At 38.5% G+C, this 23,877-nt stretch overlaps 1 protein-coding gene across 13 annotated transcripts in view, besides 1 other annotated feature; it reads right to left on the bottom strand.

Annotated features, from left to right (window-relative positions):
- BICC1 (BicC family RNA binding protein 1) overlaps positions 1–23,877 on the bottom strand; it is a 319,216-nt gene that overhangs the window by 4,721 nt on the left and 290,618 nt on the right. For 11 of the 13 annotated variants that reach the window (XM_047425780.1, XM_047425781.1, XM_047425778.1 and 8 more), the window contains 6 exons: positions 23,473–23,638; positions 20,092–20,131; positions 19,557–19,711; positions 12,729–12,885; positions 8,993–9,153; positions 6,247–6,346 (listed from right to left, as the gene is read on the bottom strand). In XM_047425780.1, the coding sequence (XP_047281736.1) occupies positions 6,247–6,346; positions 8,993–9,153; positions 12,729–12,885; positions 19,557–19,711; positions 20,092–20,131; positions 23,473–23,638 (779 nt within the window). Of the gene's footprint in view, positions 1–3,405; positions 3,490–6,246; positions 6,347–8,992; positions 9,154–12,400; positions 12,886–19,556; positions 19,712–20,091; positions 20,132–23,472; positions 23,639–23,877 lie in introns of those variants that run through there. The other 2 variants (XM_047425777.1, XM_024448174.1) reach the window with 2 other exon arrangements.
- Positions 18,634–19,833: an enhancer, noted in NCBI's record as "MED14-independent group 3 enhancer chr10:60566642-60567841 (GRCh37/hg19 assembly coordinates)". NCBI's record gives its function as "activates an origin of replication core promoter dependent on BRD2, BRD4, P300/CBP and CDK7 cofactors, and independent of MED14, by STARR-seq in HCT116 cells {active_cell/tissue: HCT116}" and the evidence as "EXISTENCE:reporter gene assay evidence [ECO:0000049][PMID:35650434]".

Raw genomic sequence — 23,877 nt, 5'->3', positions numbered from 1 at the left:
CGATCTCCACTCACTGCAAGCTCCGCTTCCCGGGTTCATGTCATTCTCCTGCCTCAGCCTCCCGAGTAGCTGGGACTACAGGTGCCCACCACCACACCTGGCTAATTTTTTTTTGTTTTGTATTTTTAGTAGAGAGAAGGTTTCACCGTGTTAGCCAGGATGGTCTCGATCTCCTGATCTTGTGATCCACCCGCCTTGGCCTCCCAAAGTGCTGGGATTACAGGCATGAGCCACCGCACCCGGCCTCCTTTCTTTCTTACTAATAAAAATCCTTTGTGGCATTTTTTTTCCAGAATAGGACACTTACATCTGCATTAAAAACCTGTTCAGGTGTATAGTCTTTCTCCTCAATGATTTTCTTAACCGTGTCTGGGAACTCATGTGGTATCTAGTGGTTGACAAAAGCTCCTTATCCTGTTATCTTCAAATTTGTTAAGCCAAACCTCTTTCTACAATTAACATACCATCTTTTGTTGTCATTAATTTCTCCAACTTTAGATCCTTCACCTTCATTTTGCTTTAAGTTGTCATATAATGACTTTGCTTTTTCTTGAATCATGGAGTCAATAAGTATGCTTTTTTATAACAATCCTGCACCCACTCTAAAAGCTGCATTTTCAATGCAAGATAAAAAAGGTATTTTGCAAAAAGTGCAAGGCTTTTGCATCTGCAGGTCTAGCTGCAGCAATGGCTTCTCAAATTTCCTTTTCCTTTTTTTTTTTTAAACAATAGTTGTTATGCTGGATTCACTTATCTTGACGTGGTGGGCAAATGCAGCTACACACCTCAATCTGTGGTACATATCAAGCAATTCAACTTTTTCCCATGATGTCATAACTTTGCTTTTGAGAGCATTAGCGGCACTTTATGTGGGTCCTACGGTGTTATTCAAGGTCTATGGTATTGTACTAAACACAATGAAAAATACTCAAGAACTGTGAGAGATCACTTGTAACTGTTATATGCAACTTACTGGAGAGATTAATTGCTCAGGTGGAAATTAGTGTCATATAGTGCTTTAAGCGGATACTTGTAACATCGAGCTCACTGCAATAGCAACAGAAGGTGGCTATGAAATTATTACAGCAGTACTGTATATAACACAGTTAATTTTATGCAGTTATGATTTAAAATGTCTTTGTCTGTTTACATTTCTCTCTGCTGCCAGTGGTGCCATATATGGTCTGTGAGGTTTTGATAAATTTTAACATGTTATAATAGATGTGTATATTGTATGGTAGTAAATGATAAAATACACTAGTATCTGTATATATTTCATACATATGCGTTCTTGACATATCTAGCTTTTTCTTAAATTTTTTCAATATTCCCAGGCTATGCAGTTTGGAAGTTTCTTCAAGTTGTCACAAATCTCCAAAAATATTTTCAATATATTTATTGAAAAACCTCTGTGTATAAGTGAACCTGTGCAGTTCAAATCCATGTTGTTCAAGGGTCAACTGTATTAAGCCACAGCCCCCATGGCTCTGCCAACTCATGAACCCTATACTTCTTGAGTCAGAAATAGTTTTAGAAAGAGGCATATGAGTAGGTTTCTTTGAATAAAAAATTAATCTAGTAAAAAAATCATATCAGCTTAGAAAATTAATACTCACAAACAACAAATACTTGAATCTAAAATTTCAGGGAAAACCTGAGGTGCCCTATTTGAATGGTAAAGAAATTAGAGTACTCTGAAAACACTGTTTTGGTTTGTCTTTTGCCAACTAAAATTATTAACTGGAAAGGTAAAAAGTTAATTGAAACAGATTACGTTGTTTTATGAGTATGCATCAACCTCCGCCCCCACCTCAAAATCACTGATGTAACTCATTCTGACAAACTCATGCAAGTACACAGAATCATCAGACTATGGAAATTAGGGTTTTGATACCAAACAAATGCAAATACCCTCAAATTTATTCAGTTTAAAATAGATTAGAGGGATTATGTAACTGATTTGCTTAAAGTTGTCTCTTTGAGGGGCTAGAGCAGTGATTCACCTTATATTTGCATGGTACTCAGTACTTTTTAAACCACACACACACAATCAATCCCCTTTTGAATTGTGAAGTTACAATGTAAGATATGGCCATCTACAGTAATGCTGACGACACAGATTCAGGTTGTAACAGACTGCATGGTGTTAAGGATGACCATATGACCAGACACACTCCTATGGCCAAGTTCTGGAGGATGACCAATACCCTTCACATTTTACCCCACTGCCTTCCAAAATGTAAACGCCTGCCCCTATATGGTCAAAGCAACACTGGAGACATCTCTCTTTTGTTCATATATAGGTCTTAGGAGAGAAGAAAAATAACAATGATTCATTAGCCTTATTGTATGACAAGCACTTTACATTTATTTTGCCCTATTCAAGTCTTCTTTAAGGGATAGATAATATTACCATTCTCCATTTTATAGGTGAAAAAACTGATTGAAAAAATAGACTAAGTCACTTGCCCACACAGGTACTAAGTGACAGAGGTGAAACCTCACATGCTTGATGGAAAGGTCAATGCCCTGAGCACTGGCCTTCAGTGACCCACTGGACAGAGAAGACCAACCAAGGCATCAGGAATACAAATCTGAGAAATCGATAGTTCCAAGTATGCCAGATAACAGAGCTTTATTTGCTATTTTAACATGCCAAATTTAATTTTTAAATAGAAAAACCCAGCTTCACTCTGAAGAAGCAAGGAAGGTATCTTTACAAGCAAAAGACACATGCAGGCATGCATACAGATGGCTGTTGTTTCAAGTTCCTCCAGAAACACAGTTATTAAAAGCTGAATACATGTATCTTGTTAAAAACAAACACAGCACTTCAAAATTCAGAAATCAAGACAGAATTGAATATATTTAAAGGCAAACTTATAGAAGCGTTAAGAATAAATGAATCCCCTTAAGTACACAGCCTGGAAAAGTTTTATCATCTTCAAGCTAGGGACTATCTTCGGCCTCCATTTTCTCACGGGGGAATAACATACAATTCAGGAAGACATTCCCACTTTACAGCAAAGAAAAAAAAGGAATGAGGCCAAACAACATTCTCCTTTAGCATATATAACATGTATAACTGAGCACATGACAACAACTGGGCCATGAAGACAAAGTTTTTCAAAATAAATATTAAAAACTTTATTCTGAAAAGACACATCAGCTAGATCTTTGAAACAGTAAAATGATCACAAGGGAATCCAACCCTAATCGATACAGTTTCTAAGAGAGTACATACATATGTTTTTAAATGTGATGCACAGAGATAAATCTTCCAGAGAGGTTATCAAGGTCAAGTCCTACTGAAGAGACTTTAGAATTGCTGTTGTTGTTGTTTAAATGATAAGGCAAACTCCTCTAATATTTTTCAGTAAGCCTACGGGATGGTTTGGGAAAATACCAACCTTTTTCTTTGAAATTCCAAGGTTCACACAATCCTGGCAGCTCTCAGGATCTTGTTGCGGATCTGAACAGAGTCACAAACTAAAAGAATAGGTCGGGAAATGTTAGATCTACCTGAGGCCGTGGTGGGAAGCCTGTCAACAGGATGCTAAGCGTCCTTTCACTGAGTCCCTGTACATTTGACCAATCATGAAAATATTCTGAGAAAAATCTGTGAATTTTCCAAAAAAAAAAAAAGTGGATTTGGGGAAAAAGAGATCAAATTTATACTTTGATCCATCTCCATTGGAGATAAATTTCATCTACTGCTATAACATTAAATGTATTTTGGCCTGAGATTAAAAATAAAACAAAACCTTATACTGAAAGAATCACTCAGATTATAAGTTTAAAATCTACAAAATTTAAAAAGGAATTTTAAGCAAACTCTGGACCTAACCAATCTATAACCATAAGACAAATGTGAGTTCAGACTGCCCAGCTATACTGCATCCATAGGGAGACAGAATGTTCTGGGACTATAAATGGATGTCTTTGTTATGAGATAAGTTGAACTGGAGAAAGAAGCTTTTTGATGAAGAATTTTCTCAATAAAAATGTATTGCTTTCAGAGAAAATAATTTACCAGGTTCAAACAAATGCACTCAACAAAGTAAGACAAAATTATTCTTAAAATAATCAAGTCCTTTATGCTGTGCAGAGCAGCCATAAAGTATTTTAGTCAGTCTCAAACTCCCTTTAAAAGCAAGAGGACCTGGTGAACCCCACTGAGAGAGGAAGTCTGCAAAAGTACTATATAACCTCAACAGAATGACAAAGAAGATGATTAGAAAAAATATTATTTTTTTAAAATAGAGAGCTTGAAACCTTTCTGATTCCCATCTTACCTCCCCCAAAAGATACTGATATATTCCAGAGGAAAGGTATTGATGATCTATCTACAACCTGTGAATGTATTTACAGCTATCTGCTTGTTGCTAAAATCTTTACAGAATTCAGAATTGGGTTGGGACACCAAAAAATGAACTTAGTTTTCACTATATCCTCACTGCTATTCCATGAATCTCTAGTGAAAGATTATGGAGCTCTGGACTACACACTTCACTGATAGAAAATTGCTGGCCTGCAGGCATATTTCAACAGTACAGGTATGGTGAATGCATAAGTTAATCACGTTTCAAACTGCAAATAAATTTCATTTGCAAATTAATAAAATAATATGAAAACTTTTAAAGTTAGCTTGAGTCTAGGGATAGCCCCCTGAGGATGAGCTTTACAGAAAACAAATTTTAAAAATTACTCTATTATCATAGATGGTAAAAAAGAACAAGTAATAAAACTATCGTTTTGTCCATTTTCACTAAGCCTGATGATATCACATGAAAGGACAGATCTTAGAAATGGAAGGTGACCTTTGTACAATCACAAATTCCAATCTACCTTCATGATTAACAAACCAAAGCCAAGAGAGGTTTGGAAACTCACTCAAGGACTCATGACTTAGCATAAGTAAAGCCCAGATCTCCTAATTGAATCCAGTGTTCTTTCCACTATACCAAGATGATCTTATGAGCAGGAATTATGCATTTTCCCTGTGGAGTTCCATTAATAGAGCCTCTTGGGTACACACAGTATATCCGAGAAGAAATTTTAGAAGAAGTTCTGGGAAAACTGATGAGTGTAGAACTCTATCCACAGAAGAACCTAACAGGCTGCCACCAGGAAGCTCAATGGCTGGATTTCCACTCCTATTTCAAAGCTGCTTTGCCTGTATCTGCTTCAGATAAAGATTTCCTATGGGAAGATGGGTGGGGCATTCAACATGCCGCTAAAATAAAATGGAAAACCACTGAGGTTTTAAATTTTATCTGCTGATCTGATTAGTGAATGTTGTCTGGAATGGACTTTCACCAGTTGGATGTAACTGCTGGCTTCACTGAGGCATAGCCTGCAAATTCAGTGTTCTGAAAAAGCATTCATTTTTCCGCAGCACATGACACTTGGCTTCTGCCCCTGGTGTGTCTGTCTTTCTGAGACTGGGACACATATAAACTTGACATTCAAGAACTTTATTGGCAAGTCTTCAAAAACTAATCCCATTCCCTCCTTAAAATTTCCGCATATTTTTCTAAACGCTTTTTTGAGGTTCATTACTATGTATTTGCCAACTCCTGACTCATCATCTGGCTCAATTCCTTTCAAATGAGTGGCACCCAATAAATACGTATAGAGCATTTTCTAAAATATATATGCAACAGATGCACAAAGAAAGTGGCCTAGGGAGACAGACATTATTTTCCTTCATTCTGTGACTATCTTCAGGATACTATGTCCTGTGACTCATAAATTCTATTAAGACAGTGGGAAGACTAAGAAGAATTAAGACAAGTAACACTGCCAGATTCAACCAGCATTCTTTTCTTCTCAGTGCAATGAACTCAGTCGGTGTGCAAGGACACAAACATTTGAAACATAACTGCCAATCAAGAATAATTATTCACTAATGTAATGATTACTGTTTAACACAACTGCAAAGAGGAGAATTAAACTTTCTCCCCAACTTCTCATGTTCTGCATAGGGCGATTTTGGTTAGATCTTTCTGAAGAGATCTATTTTCATATATGACCCTTGTTAAGGCAGGTTTTCAGGCAATGCCTTGATGAAAAAGTAAGACAGTCTCAGGATCTGTCACACTGTTGACAGGAAAACCCTCTGAAACCACAACCAAGGTGTTAGGTTAGTAAGCCAGCAGTTAATGGGTAGAAACAACCCAATGGCTGAGACCACTGGCAGAGGTTATTCAGATTTTAACATATGAGTTGAATATTTATATTCACCTGAAATTGCAAGCAGCATTTTCCTCCTGGCACCAAAAGTAGTTATTCCCAGCTCCTTCAGATCCTGATCTGTGAGAGTGAGGAATGTCTGAAGATCGATCTGTGGGTAGAAAGGTCAATCTATAACCAATGTATTAATTACTTATTTTCTTTCCCACTGTAGGATCAACTTGTTGTCACACTTATTTATTAATTATGCTCTGCCTACTTCCAGAAAAGAAAGGTGGTAGCACAAACCTAAGAAACAAGAATTAAGAAAGGTGGTGAAATGGAAATGATGATTCTAGCAGAAGACTTAGCTCTGAGCAACCCGGCAACTATAGCAAGAAAGGAAACACAAAGATTGTACCATTTTTGTGAACTGATAAAAGGAAGAGCATTATCTGTTCAGAGAAGAGAAAAATATTTCTTAGGTTGGGATTTTAAATTGGTTAAGTGTATCTTTATCTTTATAAGAAGAAACTAAATAATAAAACAGATGGCATCTTCCTTTGTGTTCAACACAGGATTGAAAGGATTGAAAGAAGAATTCCCAGACACAATCAGATCTACAGTTCACTTGGCTCAACTCAGCAAACTATCACTGAAAGGGACACAAAAGAAGTATTTGCAGGAACTATAAAACTGCACTGTCTGGCATCAGGAACAAAGCATGAAGGGAAACTGCCCAAGGATCCCCCACCTTCCTTTAAAGATAGTGTGTAAGAAGAGAAAGACAACAGATTCTGAAGCCAAAGAGACTTGGGTTCGATCCTGACTCTGCCATTACTAGCTGTGGGCACAGAGGGTTGACAATACTGTATCTTGCAGAACTGTTGTAAGCATTCACTATAACTATAGATATAAAGTACTGGGCTTACCAAATAAGACAATTGGCAGGTATGGTTAGTAATAATGCATGTTGATATATCACCTGTGAAAGTTGCTAAATGAATCTTCAACATGCTTACAATAAATTAAATCTCATGAAGTTACTTATGGGGGATTCTTGTTAAATCACATCTGAGTATTAGAAAATATCCTACACTGAAAAAAGCAGATGACCAAATTTCAACATGCCATAAACAGGTAAAACTTTTCATTAAATGATATTGAAGATAATTTAAATTGTCCTGTTTTGATTTGGAAGGTACATCCAGGTCTTAGAAAACCTTAGGCCATCATTTATCACAGTTCTAAAGATATGTTTTCAGAAATTCTATAATAGAGATTCTTCAGCTCAAGTGTTCCCCAGCTTTCTCTTAAAGGACCAGATGGTAAATATTTTAGGCTTTGTGGGCCACAATGTCAGTGTTGCAGTTACTTAACTACGCTGTTATAGCTGGAAGGAAGCCATAGACAATATGTAAACAAATGAATGTGGCTGTGTTCCAATAAAACTTTACAAAATCAGGCAGTTGGCCTACAGACCACAGTTTGCTGACCCCTGCTGTAGTTAATAAAATATTACATTAAGTCCCTCTGGCTTTATACTTTCATGTTTTTTTCCTTCTTGGAGTAATTGGAATAAGAAATACCTACAATTTCTATGCTTCTTCAAATAGGAAACATAGATGAAAACAAACCCAGAATATCATTGAATTAACATTCAATCTCTTGCTTTTTGACCTTCTGTGCCTGGACACATTAAAATACTTCTGCTTCCAGCTACCATCATCTAACCAGCAAGACAAAATAAGGAGATATATTCTTTAATGCACTGATTATGAAAGGTTTATTCAGCTTAGAAAATTCTTGGTTAAATGAACACTAACTCAGATGTAGGGGAAACAGAAAAAAAAAATCAATACCCTGAAATTTAATACACACAACAATTGCCCTTTCAGTGTAAAAAACAAAAATGCTCAGCATTTAAACTTAATAATTTATTGGACCATGGGCAGTACATTGAATTTATGATACAAAGTGCCTAGTAAAAACTATAGATTCTTTATTAACTGACACGTGCCTAGAAATTACTGACTAAATCAGATGTTCTCTAACATAAAATTAAGCCAACTAGCATCAAACATGGACCATGTCTTGATTTGAAAAAGACACAAATGTATAGAAACATTTTAATTTTCTGACACTTTGAGTTAGCTGTGCCCCAGTAATATGAGAGCACTGTTAGGAAGAATCATGCCTGGGGCCTCTTTTCTTTATGCCAGTACATAATAGGATATGGCTAATCAGTTTGACCAAAATCCATGGTCATGATTGTTCAGTAGACATCTCAGTTCTGTCTCAGTTCAGGTAAAACCCAAACAATAAGTTAATGAATAAATTAACATGTTGAAAAAAACATATATTCTGTAAGAACAGACTTCAGCATGACCAGGATGAGTCAAAAACAGCCAGAGATATTTCAGATGCTGTTATTTACTTTTAAGTGCCACAAATAAAGATAACAACAGATTCAAAATGAAATCATGTTAAATACAGACTTGTTGCTGACCTTAAGGGAGCTGTGACTACAAAAATTCCTAGGAATCTATATATCGATTGGGTTTTATTGCTAAAACTGTTAGACAGCTATTGTACATTTTTCTGCAAGTATGATTTTCTCTATTTCTGCTATCCCGTGTTTACTAGCTGCACTAAATAAGAAATGAGATGACATTTTTCTTAGTAGCAAGGACAAGCTATGAGACTTGAATAAATGCTCAGTGAAAGCATACTCATAGGTCAATAAGTGATTTCATTCTAGAAGTCATCATACACACAATCAAAACAAAGATACTTGGGAAAATAAATAATGACTGACCTCTTGTTGCTGGAAAACATCTGTGTATTTGCCCAGGCCCAGTTTGCTGAAGAGCTCAGGGAGGTCAGAACCTTTGAAAGAGCTATTTAAGTTACAGCCATTGCTTCCTGTCAGCGAGGAAATGCAGTCCATGTAATTGCTACTGCTGAGATAGTGTTCCGCTGAAAGGCAAAGGAGAGACAGGCTTGAAGTGTAAATGCCCAGAGAGAACATGGTTTAATTAAAAGTTTTAATCACCTAAATATTTCAACTTCCATTGTTCAGCTGAATAGGGCAGTAGCTGTAGAAATACAGCAATCCTTTACTGAAATATTGGCTTTCCATTAAGGAAATGCTGGTTATTGCTTTCAGGGAGGCTCTTGACATTTAAAAGGTTACACTTGGGAGGCAGAAATTCAGCAACAGTGCCTCTGTAGTTAATAATCATTCATCATATTCTCCCTGAGTAGTCAGAAGCATTTGTTGTTTAAAATTGATTGGATGTGAATTAAATGAGGAGCTGTAAAAAGGATCCCTGGGACAAAATAAAGGTATGGAAAGTTATTACAAGTCCAGGCTCCGTTGGATGGCAGGGTGGCTCTCTGTATCTACACCTGTGCTTTCCTTTGGTCAAAGGAATTGTATGGTATTGCAACACATAAATCCTGCTCCCTAAAAAATATAACTGGGTAGCAAGGTCACAAAACAGCACACTTCCAAGATTAATAGTAATGTATAAAGTGATAAGAATGATGCTGGGGTTCCTGGATTTAATTTAGGACAAAAATAAATCTGTCTCTGGGGAAAACTTTTAAGACAGCAATGCTGAACTTTTCCTTGGTTCTGCAACTGATTTGGTGGGCAAAGGTTTCAACAAACTGTCTGTGGCTCTCAGACCCAGTGACAAGCAAGCGCTGGTGACGGACTATTGAACCAAGCCAAGTAAGTCACACACACACACACACACACACACACACACACACACACACACACACACAGCCTTGGAGATTTCAGCAGAGTGCAGGCATTCCACCTCCCAGACCAATAATGAGCTCTTGCCTGTGTGGGAAATCTGTCTTCTTACACCAAGGATGTGGCTTCAGGAGAGATCCCCAAAGAGGTGAGGGAGGACAACACTGACCAAAGCCAATCAGATCCATCTAGTCTACTCTGGGGATCCATGTGTCTGCCAAATCTAGGAATCTTGTTCTGCACTGTTTTGGGTGTCATTGATCACTTTCTCCAGTTGTTTTCATCTCCCAATTGAGATGTCCTCTATGATTCTCAAACAGAAGGCATTTCCTGAAAAGGTTTTTCTCTTAAGGATAGCTGCTGTTTATCTCTTGGGGTGAATGTGTAGAGAAAGGACCCAAAACCAAACCCCAAGATACTGAGTCCTGGGACACTCCACCATTTAAAGGTGAAGCAGAGGCCCCAAAGTCATAAAAACAGTTTGAGGAGGAGTGACTATTGAGGTACCGGGTCAAAGGTGACACAAAGCCACAAAGTGGACTGCGATAAGCAAATTGGGGTGAGTGACCACCAGATGTGGGATGTGACTACATCAAAGTGGCTGAAAGGCTGCCCATATAATTTATGGTCCAAATGATAGATTTACTTTTTTTTTCGAGAGTAAAAGAGTTACTGAGAATTATGCTGCAGCAACTGGTATAAATAGGGATGCCCAGGAAAATGGAAACATTGGTGACCTTGACAAGGGTGTTAAGAGAAATTATCTAAAACTGTGCTGTTCAATACAGTAGCCATTGGCCACACATGGCTATTGAGCACCTGAAATGAGCCTAGTGGGAATGAAAATGCTCTGTCAGTACACAATACACTGCAGATTTTAAAGCCTTTGTACAACCTAAGAAAGAATGTAAGCTATCTCCAATAATTTTTATATTGATTACATATTTAAAAGGAATCTTACATATGTTAAATTATTAACAATTTTAAAAACAAATGTTTGAAAATAAAATGTTCATAGTGATAAATGTTCAAAGTAGCCTATAACGTACTTTTACTTAAATTTTTTTTTTTTGGTCTTAACTACTTGTAGTTTCTATAGTCTCTCTTAAACTCCCTATACCCTAAAAAAAGTGACAAAACCCAAATAACTGTGCTTCATTAATCATTCCTTTTTATTAATGTATCCTCCATCTTAATCCTGAACTTCTATTCAACTGAGTAGTACAGTCAATTTAATTATCCAATGTTAAATGAAGGGAAAGGAGATAAAGATAGAAAAAGAGAAGCACCAAATGAATGTATCTTGGGCTAGAGACTGGACATCATTTACACCCCTCCATCTGTGCCTGGCATCAGCCTGACTCTCATCTTGATCATACTGTCAGTGGTGGAGCGTCCAGCCAGTAACTAATGGGAAGTCTCCAGGCTACTATTGACAGTGTACTTAGGAATGAAATAGTTGTCCGTGCTTTCTTATTTAGACTTGGCCAACAACCTGATTACTCCTTTCAAATCTGAGACTCCTGATAATACAGCTGACATGAGTGATAGTAACGTAACAACTGACTGTTACTGAGTGTCTACCATGCTCATCTAGATTGCCTAGCTTCAAGGAGTCTTCAAATATTCTACATGTTTCAGGATTCCAAATTTGTCAAAAACCCTGAAAAAAGGCATTGGGGCATATCTTGTGATGACAATGTCAGCTCTCATCTGTTTATACAGCCCAGGAGTATGGGTGCTGTTGTAGATAAAACAATGGGCTTATGCTGAGTCTCAGCCAGATTTGCTAAAAGCCAGAACCCCCATGCTGTAATAAGTTAATTTTTTCCTGTTTATGCGAATTCAGCAACATCTTGTCTATTTACAAAATCAAACCCTGCTATTCACCTTTAGTAGCCACCCGCTGGACAGTCTTTCTTCAATGGTCTAAGATGCTAATTCAATCACATTTTTCTCAACCACTTTTTTTTTTTGAGACAGGGTCTCGCTCTGTCACCCAGGCTGTAGTGCAGTGGTTCAATTACAGCTCACTGCAGCCTCAAACTCCTGGGCTCAAGCGATCCTCCCACCTCAGTCTCCCACGTAGGCTAAGACTATTGGCGCATGCATACCACCACACCCAGCCTCTTGTTTTTTTTTTTTTTTTTTTTAGTAGAGATGAAATCTCACTATGTTGCCCAGACTGGTCTCAAACCCCTGGGCTCAAGCTATCAACTCACCTTCACCTCCCAAAGTGCTGGGATTACAGGTGAGAGCTGCCATGCCTGGCCTCAACCACTTTCTTATGTCCTTGTCTTTTTGTCACCACCTGGATGCATGTGTGTACATTACCCATTCATGCATTCATTTCACAAACTTTTACTGAGCACCTACCTACTAGGTGTCAGACAGTTCACTAGGCGTTTGGGAAGAAATATCCAATAAGGCAGAGCATAACAGAATACTTGACACATGGACACTTCATAAATGTTTATAAAATGAACAAATACAGTCTTTGGTTTGTGGAGCACAAATTTCACAAGGAGATACAGATAGGTAGATAAATAATTGCCCTTTGGTATGGCAAGTGCTAGAGTGAAAGCACGCACAAAATGGAGTGAGAGGAAAGAGAACCAGGTGGCCTGCTTCACTGGGAGAAACAAGGAGGCTTCACAGAGGAGATGGCATGTGAATTACACCAAGCACTTGAAGTCAGAGAGGCCACAGTCAGTGATACTCCAACCCAAATAAACACATTCTAATCTGGGGATACCTAAAAGTGTGCATAAAACACAACGCTCACTTGATTTGTTTTGTTTACGCTTAGGGCTGCCAATAGAAGCTGCAAATTCACTATGACTTCCAGGTCCAATTCCATTTCGGTCTCTCCAGTTATCAGATTCGCTTCCACCTCCCAAGTGCTCACGACTGTTGGACCGTGAAAGGGACATGGATGAGCCCTGTAAACAGACAAAGCCAGATAAGGAAATATTTAATCAGGTGGGTTTTTCAGGGTGGGAGGAGAAAAGAATCCACATTACACCACTGCCGTTTACTTCTCTTGCCAACCACCGCAGTTACTCATGAGTGTTGACTCTCGGGAAGGCTGTGGAACCTGCCTACAGCCTTTGCCCTGCAGCACCAAGGACACTTGGTAATTTGCACAGTGAAGTCTTTTTCTTTCATTATGGGGAGTAGATTCTGAGGGAGAGTTCTGAGAGCCTCCGGGATAAATAATCCCTTCTATAAAATTTGGAAGAGTGGATGCTGAGACTCCTTCCAATTTTGGAGACCAAAAAGCAAATCTTCCACCTGGTAGAGCAAAGATTCTCTGCCTTGTATTACACAAGTAAGAGAAATGGTGATGTGGCAAAGCTGGCTTCTCAAAATGCTAATAGAGCCTGAGGTTGGAAGGGGAGCTGTCATTTCCCCTGTGTTACCCTCCCCTAAACAAACAAGGATACAATCTCTCTAACAAATTACATACCTGGAGTAATTTATCTCTTTAAATTCTCCACAATAAAAACAAAAATAATTTAAAATTTGCACTGAACTTGCATTTATTCATCTTTGTATTTATTTAATCACTATATTATAGACACCCTACTATTACCTAGAGTATTAAAGTCAAGATTCTCTGACTTTCAAAATATTATGTTCATTAGGTAATTCCAAGAGAATCCTTTACTGTTCACTTCAATAAACTTACTTAATTCAATCTTGCAATGGCATAAAGACAGCTCACTATGCCCTCCTTTAAAAATTTCTTTCTTTAGGGCATCCTGACACCCCAGGCCCCAAGTTTTCCACCTACCTCACTGTGTCCTTTGGAGGATCTTCCTATTTTACATTCTAAAATGTCAGATTACCCTGTACCTGGTCCTAGGATCTCTTCCCTTCCCTCTGTCTACTTTCTTAAGTAATCTCAAGTCCTTTCAAAAAGTAATGACAGTAGTGATTCCTAAACTTCTAACTCCAGATTTGATTTCTCTGTTGAAATTTAAGAATCATAGGCCGGGTGCAGTGGCTCACACCTGTAATTCCAGCACTTTGGGAGGCCAAGGTGGGTGAATCACCTGAGGTCAGGAGTTTAAGAACAGCCTGGCCAACATGGTGAAACCCCATATCTACTAAAAATACAAAAATTAGCTGGGTGTGGTGGTGCGTACCTGTAATCCCAGCTACTTAGGAGGCTGAGGCAGGAGAATTGCTTGAACCCAGGAGGCGGAGGTTGCAATGAGCAAGATCATGCCACTGCACTTCAGCCTGGGCAACAGAGTGAGACTCTGTCTCAAAAAAAAAAAAAAGAAAAGAAAAGAAAAGAAATTTAGAATCACAGAGGTGCCAGTCGGACACTGCCATTTTCCTGTCCGATAGGCATCTTAAACTCAGTGTGCTTGAAACCAAGTTGTTGTTACCCATCCCCATCAGCTATCCTCAAACTTATTCTTTCAGAATTCCTATATCCCAGCTAGTGACTCTACTACTCACCCAGCTGCTCCAGCCAAAAGTCCAAGGGTCATCCTTGGTTCCTCCTTCCCTCAACACAGCCAATCCCTCAGCAAGTTCATCAGTGTCATCTTAATACCCCAAGTCTGCTCACTTCTATGCACCTCCACAATGTCCCAACTGCCTCCCTAAGGGCCATTTTAATTCTACTCTTGTTGCTTATCTCCCTACAATCCATTTTCCATGAAGCAACAAGACTGATTTCTTAAAATGCAAATTAAAACAAATATGCCTCTGTGTAAAGTCCTGTGATGTATTTCCACTGTGCCTTACCATAAACTGACAGGCTCCATAATCCAGCCTCTGCCTCTCTCCAGTCTCTTCTCTGATGCTGATGGTCCCCCACCCTACCCACCTCGGCTTCAGGAACTCACCGGCTGGTTCTGACTCTGGGGTGATCGTGCCAGTTGTTCCCTTGGCCTACTACTCTTTCCCCAGATCTTCATGGCCTTTTCTTGGCATCTAGGTTTTAGCTTGAATGTCATTTGCTCATAAGGTCTGCTTTATGACTACCCAATCTAAAGTGGTTCTGTTTCATATGTAACAGAGACTCTTGTTACTAATGACTTCTTGTTTGTTTTATGTTTCCTTCTACCCACAAGAAAGCTCCATCTGAGAAAGTAAGAACCTTGTATTCAAACACTGTATTACCAGTGTATAAAATTGTGTCTGGAACACATAAGGTGCTTAGTATTTGTGGAATTATTGAATTAATCTCAAGGACTCCTTTCCCTACAACTATGGGACGCCTTCACTAACTTCTGGCAATGGGTATAGGGAAATGAAGTTTTCTGAGACCAAAAACTGGATTTCCAATCAAAGTATCTTTATTATTTGTATATCTTTGATAAAATATCTTTAATATTTCTACTCCTAGATTTGTAAGATTTAAAATAATCAGACAACCTCGTTACTATCAGTGCTAGGGAAGTTTAAAACCACCTTTGATTCTCAGTGCAGGTTTTTATTTGCTCCGAGAATATGTGACCATTACTCATGCTTTTAAGAGATGGGTGGCAAAAAGGAAAAGAAAATCCCAAACCTCTTTGTAGCTTTATTGATGTGACACAGTTACTGCAGGTCAAAGCAGCCTTTTGTTTGACTTTTGGTATCCCAATATAATATATGGGGACAGGGTCATAATTTAGAATCTTGGAGAAAACAAAAAAAGCTTCAAAGTGCCTGCTTCTTATCTAAGGGATCTCTTTGAAGTAGATTAATTTCTCAAAGCTGCCCTAAAACTGGAAAAAACTGCTCAAGCTGAGCTTCTCAATAATATTGAATACAGAGTTTGAAGTATCAGATTCTTGCCTCAAGCAAAGTTGCTACAGCAGGAAACATTTGGTCCCTGGCACACCGAGTGAGCAGCCCTCACCTGTCAGGACCTATTGGTCAAACATGCTTGCTCTTTTTACAGATCGGCATTCTCCTTGTTCATTTGGCTTTATTTTTCTTTTGAAAAATGAAAAAGTAAGAAAAAGGAAGGTGTTTTTAGCTACTCTCCAACTTAAAAATATTAGTGCCATAAGCATAGATGTGGTCTCTATTTTAATAAAAATCTCCCTCTCTACTTTTCCCCAGGCCCTTCCCCTCTTCCTAATCTATAGAGGCAATACTCACTGGATGCCCTATTTCTGATCCTTCTGAGCTATAGAAGAATAAAGGAAAAGACATACACAGCCACTGCTGCAGAAAATCAGACCATGCTATGTGAGGGGCCCTTTCTTACATTTCAAAGAATTTGGGATACATGAGGAAAAGCTCAAGTCTAACTTATATACCAGGGAGAATCTAGAACACCATTCACAAAAAAGAAAAAAAAAAAGATCATATCTTTCCATTAGTAGCACTTAAAGAGGCAGTGAAGAAAAGCAGATTACATGGTTAATGTCCATGCTGGAATCTAGCAGGTCTCACCCACCCTTCCTCCCAAATTTCAATGTGAATGTGCTGCTAAACACCAGCCAGGATGATGGGGCAGGCTAGCCCAAGATAGCCAAAGCAAGAAAAGCCATAGGAAGAAGTTCAACCATGGTGTCAGGGGCCCTGCACATTTCTGCCCACAGAAAGTGATCTGTGATCTACCTGTCCTTGGGCAAGTGCTGGAGCAGAAGAGCCTTTTGGGCTCCTATGCCTATTCCTGCCCTTATCCCCATAGGGTTACATCCCTTTACAGCAGAGTTTCCTGTGGGACACATGCATCACAATTATACTAGGTTCTTGCTGAAAACACAAATAGATACCTGGTCCTCACTCCCTACCTTTTGAGTGAGATCCTAGGAGAAGAGTCTGGATTATTAAGCTCTCCGAGTGATTCTTATGTTCATAAAACTATGGCAACATGGCTCTAGATCAGTTACATACCACCCTTTGCTATGGACTCTCTTGGGTTAAATCATTAGGAAGAGGAGTATAAGTAACCTTGAGTAAGACACTTAGCCATTCTGGGCCCCTCTTTCCTTACTAGGAGTTTGTGGGGATTGAATAAAATTGTGGGTGAACTAAATGAATATGATTTAAGATAATTACTACTATTACCTTAAATTCTTATGTGTTCACATAATACCCTAAGATATTCCTTTGAATATAAAAAAGCATAACTAGCTTGAGTGTGCAGAAATATTTCCACCAGTGAGCATTCATAAACATAATCTCATCTTTCAGCAAGCCCTTGGTTTTCTTCAGGATAAAGTAAGTCCTCCACTGGAAATAATAATAGCCACTCAATATCAGTAAGAACTGGCCAGGCGTGGTAGCTCACTCCTGTAATCCCAGCACTTTGGGAGGCTGAGGCAGGTGGATTGCTTGAGCCCAGCAGTTTGAGACCAGCCTTGGCGACATGGTGAAACCACGACTCTACCAAAAATACAAAGACTAGCCAGTCTCATAACCTGGTCTCAAAATAAATAAGTATATAGATTAAAATTTAAAAATGAAAAAAATGTAAAAAACTTAAAAGAACCTCACACCTGTAATCCCAACACTGGGACACCGAGGCGGGCAGATCACTTGAGGTCAGGAGTTTGAGACCAGCCTGGCCAACATGGTGAAACCCTGTGTCTACTAAAAAAGAAAAAAAAAAATACAAAACTTAGCTGAGCGTTGTGGCGCATGCCTGTAATCCCATCTACTTGGGAGGCTGAGGCAAGAGAAATGCTTGAACCTGGGAGGCACAGGTTGCAGTGAGGCGAGATCCTGCCATTGCACTCCAGCCTGTGTGACAGAGTGAGACTCTTAATAAAGTAAAATTTTTTAAAATATCACTAGGCCAGGCATGGCGGCTCACACCTGTAATCCTAGCACTTTGGGAGGTCGAGGTGGGCAGATCACCTGAGGTCAGGAGCTCAAGACCAGCCTGGTCAACATGGTGAAACTCTGTCTCTACTCAAATACAAAAATTAGCTGGGCATGATGGTGGGTGTCTGTAATCCCAGCTACTCGGGAGGCTGAGATGGGAGAATTGCCTGAACCCAGGAGATGGTGGTTGCCGTGAGCCGAGATCGTGCCACTGCACTGCAGCTTAGGGGGGTTGAGTGAGACTCCACGTCAAAAAAAAAAAAAAATTTTTTTTAAATATCACTAAGAACTGACAACACATCATGCTAATCACTGGATGCCCTCTCCAATGCCCTTCTCAGCACAACCTGAATGAGACACAGCTCAGATGAGTGAAGTCCCTCACCAAAGCTATACATCTGGTCAGAGGTGGTTATCAGAACCCTGAACTTGACCACTCCATTACCGAAATGAACATCATTTTCAACTTGTCCTACTGTTGGTCTTAGAAAGCAGAACTGAATGAGCATTTCTAAAGCAAATACTTCATCTTTGAAACTATAGGAACACAGTCAACAATCTGGCACACTTCACTCCGTCAAAAGCAAGGATGGGCTGAAAGGAATAGCCATACCGTACATCAGGTGAAACTCTAAGAATGAGCACAGCAGTTTTATGGTCTCTGTTAACAAAAGGAGATGTTTATTTTCTCTCTGTGTTATAATGGAAGAAAGAAGAGTGTACCTCCTAGAGCCTCAACATTTTTCATAATGGTTCCTACATTCTGCTGCTGAAGGTAACTTCAATCTTTAAAACACAGCCTGCCATGTTGCTACTATAACTCCCAAAATGAAATTCACAGGAGACTCTTTTAGTATTTCAATAGTATTTTCTTTTTCACTTACTCAAAAGAGACAAAAAAAAAAAAAGCAGCATGTTTGCTTTTGTGTTTCATCAATAGCCTAATTTATTACAAAGCAAATGGGTGGAGAAAAGGTCAATCTACAAATGCTAGTTATTAGACTAACAATTATGAAACCCTTAACCAGTGTTTGTTTTTTGGCCTACAGTGCTCTCTCTGGTTGAACACTGTGACTCCTGGATTAATCATTTTCATCCATGTTTGGGTGTGTACAGTCTCCCAGCATTGTGTATGTGTGCACGCTCTCTCTAGACCCACCCCGACTCCCAAAGGCTTAGAGCCAAAATCTGATACTTTGAAATGGAAAAGGCCTGCTTGGTGAATCGCGTGTAGCCTGGCTGTGGAGTATGGAACTCTCCATCCCTTCCATATGGTAGGAATGCCAGCTTCCCAGTCTCACCCTGAGCAGGGCAGCCAACATCTGGGAAACATAAAAATTTTGGAGCACTTGTTTCAGATACTTCTTGCTGTGTTCTTGGCACATCTGAGCACACTGAATTTTTAACTCATATCTGAAAACCTATTTTTGTTGAATATTTGCCTTTTCCCCCATCGTGACCTTGCTAGTGAAACCCTTGGATAATAGGACTCTTTAGACATTTTTATGAAATATTACATCTCCCTTTTGCTTAATCTCAGCCCTACGCTTATCATTTATGACACATCCCACACTCAACAAAAACTCACATCCAAATTTACATCTCTTTAAGAGCTGACCAACAACTTTGAGAGAATACAGATAAAAGATCATAATACACAAGAGTGCATCAGTTTTATAACAGTGTGTTTACAAGAATAGAAATAAAAACAAGTCACCACTAATCATTTTCCCTTAGGTACATAAAGAATGAGGGTGGGGGAAGGACTGTCCTCTTTTGCTGAAAGAACAGACAGGAAGAATGAGTAGGACATGACTCTACAAACCTCATAAGTGGTTGTCATTGTGGGCTTATAGGACACATGATTGGCCCTTCTCAACTCCTTGATAGTTTCAGCTGGCATGGATTTAGAAAAACCCAGGCCACTCCAGGTATTTGTGGGCGTTCTGACCTCCGTCACCACTGGTTTCTTTAACATAGCTTTGGAAACAAAATAAAACCAATGCTTGGTATGTTTAATGCATTTCTTCAATAAAATACTGATGATAAGTGTCGTTTCTTTGATATATGTGAAGAAATTATCACTGAATGTTATTTCTTAACACAAAATGTCTAAAAATATCTTAATGAAATATTTTATCCAAGTAATGATAAATGAAAAAATGCTAAATGATTTCTTAATTGGTCTAATGCTAAACCATTCAACAAAATATATTCAACAGAATGTATGCAACTTGAACCCAAATATTCTAGGTTTCTTTTTCTGAGTTTTCAAGTTCTCGATTCACCATGAGTACTCAAAAAACATTTATGAGTGTACTAAAATATAGTCAAGTGTAAGTTATTAGTGTATTACATACCTTTGGTGGCTAATAGCTTCTTCTGTTCATAGTCAAATGCCTGAAAATGAAACAGAAAATACCTTTATTGACAGTCTCTCCAAATGTCATGCCAACACTCCATGGTTAGAGAACAAAGGTTTTGACTGTGTTCCATGAATCTGCCTGAGACATACACCAAGCTTTGCACAATAATGCCACAGAAATCCAAGGTATGTCTGTAAGTTTAAACATGTTTCCAACACTAATTAATTAGTAATAATAAATCACCACTTCTGACTTTAAGGTTGACTTTAAGAGTTAGAATTTTTCCTTAAAAAAAGAAAAAAAAATCTTATTTACCATAAATACCTAGCACACCAGAGCCAATGTCTGCTAGAATATAGTGAACAGCCTAATAATAATAATGTGGGTTTTGAAAGTATACATTTCCAAAATGCTGTCATGTATCTATTGGCCCCCTTAGGGTCTCAAAAATCCCCTCTTCATTTAGGTAAGCGTGGCCTGAAGTGGTATGATGTCAAGATACCTTAAGAAATTATTTAACCTAACTGGCATAGTCTTTGCTTTTGAAGTGAGATGTGAGATAAATGGCAGATGTCTAACTTTAATTTATAATGACATTAAGCAATGCCATAAAATTAAACCTAGTTACTGTTTATTGCACAGGGCTAGGATAGCACCATTGATTCATTCCATTAAAACTGAATGAGTAACTACGATGTAGTCAAGTGTATGTGAGGACTAAGATAGATCATTTTGAAGAAAGTAGTGCAGATACAGCTACATTTCAAATCTTTTCTGAGTGTTATCAACTCCCCAATTTAGGAAATAGCTAAGACTTGATCTAAGCATGTCTCAAAGGCCTACCACAAGGACCAAGGGCCAATTGGCAAGAGCTCTTTAACCAGAAAGACTATACCATCATATATAAGGTACCTATATAATCTGTGGTCTGAAACAGGACATTTCTGAAGGTGAAATGTGCTGTGAATAACAATTAGGCCAAGATAATAAAAGTAAATAGAGGCTGTCCCAGACAAACAAGGACATGTGATAACTAAAAACATAGCCATGTGTCAGGAAAGCCAGATTTTTAGATAATATTTTTGATGAAGTTTTTAAATCCTAGGACTAAAATGGCATTGGGAGTTAAAATCAATTTTTAATTATTAATGCCTAAAGGCAAGGTATACGGAGAACCTAAATTTACTTGTTCAACAAATATTCATTGAGGGCCTACTGGTTAAAGAGACTATGCTCAGCTTTGTGGAAGAATACAACAACTAATCAAAAATAAGCTACAGCCTCGATGACTTGCAGTTTTTTTGTTTGTTTGTTTGTTTGTTTTTTAGACAGAGTCTCGCTCTGTTGCCCAGGCTGGAGTGCAGTGGTGCAATCTCAGGTCACTGCAACCTCCACCTCTTGGGTTCAAGTGATTCTTCTATCTCGGCCTCCCAAGTAGCTGAGACTACAGGCGCCCACCACCAAGCTGGGCTAATTTTTGTATTTTTAGTAGTGACAGGGTTTCGCCATGTTGGCCAGGCTGGTCTCGAACTCCTGACCTCAGGTGATCTGCCCACCCTGGCTTCCCAAAGTTCTGGGATTACAGGTGTGAGCCACCATGCCTGGCTGACTTGCAGTCTTAGGAGGGTTGGGAAAAAGAAATAACTATAAAATAAATTAGAAACTGAGATAAGCATAAAAAGAGAGCTGGGGATATAGCACTCCAAGAGCAATCAGGAGATACAGATCATTTTCAGCCAAGGAAATCAGGCCAAGTTTTCAATCTTTCTCCCTGTCAATGCTCAGTGAATATTATCATTGATTTCTTAGTGATTTATTAAGAGTCAACTGTTCACTAACAACATAAATACATCGAGTTAGGCTGAAACTCAAACATTAAGAACATGCTCATCCATCCTAAAAGAAAGAAACAAGAAACTGGTTCACTGCAGGTATAAATCTGATGGAAAAGGTGACAAGAACCACAAGACAAAAACCATCAAAAGATTATAAAGGGGATTTGATATTTGTTAAATAAATTGTAATTCATATTAACTGAAAATACATCCACCAGAGAAAATGTAATAAATGTCTTTTTTATTTTATTTATTTTTAATTTTTGAGACAGGGTCTCGCTCTCTCTCCCAGGCTAGAGTGCAGTGGTGCAATCTTGGCTCACAGCAACCTCTGCCTCCCAGGCTCAGGTGATCCTCCCACCTCGGCCTCCAAGTAGCTGGGACTACAGGTGCATGCCACCACGCCCTGCTAATTTTTTAGAATTATTCTGTAGAGATGGGGTTTTGCCACGTTGTCCAGGCTGGTCTCAAACTCCAGGACTCAAGCAATCCACCTGCCTCGGCCTCTGAAAGTGCTGAGAATATAGGTGTGAGCCACTGTGCCCGGCCTTAAATGTCTTTTTTAAACACTGACACATTATAAAGGCCATAGCTTTTATTTAAAAAAAAATTCATCGAAAAACTTAGGAAAATGTTCCAATGCAAAGGATTAAAAAAATAGAGAAGGAGGACTAAACTGCAGATTGCACTGGAATTAAAGTAATATAGTTTAGCTCCATGAATTAATTTCTTTGACACATCTATGACAGCTTTTCTGTTTCTAGGATTTTGTGGAACGTTCTTCCTCTTTTTTGGTGGTGAAAGATAAAACAGGTAAGTCTACTCAGCAATTCTGGTCTGACATCAAATGCTTGTAGGCATCTCTAAAAGCACAAAGCACAAATCCTTATCTTTCATATTGTCATCTATAATTTCTGCATTTTCATGGTCAATAGTCTATTCTGAGTAATTAGACTAATAGTTTGAAAATGGAAACACAGAAAGTTCCTATTGAGGAAGTTGTTTAATCATAAAAATTATTTAAAGGAAGTTGTTTTTATAATCATAAAAAATCTGTGAACCAACACAATCATCAATAATATTCATCATCTAGTTTCAAAGAACACTCCACATTCGTTATTCTCATAACTATCTTTAAATGGCACCAAACACATTCATCATCTTCATTACATAGAAAATAGTATATCTATTTATCCAAGACTATGTCATGAAGCAAGAATACTTAGAAATGCAGTCCCGCAAACTCATCTGAAAATTTTTTAAGTAACACATGAATAATGTTATTTGCATAAGACAGTGACACAGACCATTCTGCACCATTTTTAATATATTTTAAAGAATTCTCACTTAAGGTAAATACTGCTTTTCATTTTTAATGTTTATAGCAAACTAACTGCTACATATATATTTAAATTTCATTTTGAATGTAGCACAGAAGGAAAACCTAATTTCTGCACTACTGCTGAACACTCACTGAATTCTCCATACCAGAACCCAAACATATGACATTTGAGTGGCTTTCCTATTTTATTACCATTACCTGCATGTTGACATATGATGACCGTGGAGCAAGGTGGGCCCTTTCGGAGTTTTGCTGGGCAGCTGCTGCCCTCTCTGCAGCGCGCTCACTCCCTGGAGCCTTCTTGTCAGCCAAAGGGCTTTCGGTAGCACTCAGTTCAGGGTCTGAGAGCAACCTGTCAGTGCTGCTGTGAAATAAGAGTGTGGAATTTAACACTCCACTATATATACAAATGTACTGAATGTTTCCTACATGCCACATTTACTATGCATGTTTATCATCATCAGCTATTTACACGTAGTCTCTCATTTAATCCTCACAACAATGCTATGACACAGGTACTACTGTTATCCCCACTTTGTGGATGAAGGAAGTATATTGTCCAAGGTCATACCTCTAATGTGAATGGTAGAGATGGAATTTGAA

Source organism: Homo sapiens, chromosome 10, assembly GCF_000001405.40.
Source record: "Homo sapiens chromosome 10, GRCh38.p14 Primary Assembly".
In the NCBI taxonomy this organism is placed as follows: domain Eukaryota; kingdom Metazoa; phylum Chordata; class Mammalia; order Primates; family Hominidae; genus Homo; species Homo sapiens.
This window is presented reverse-complemented; position numbering and strand designations above follow the sequence as displayed.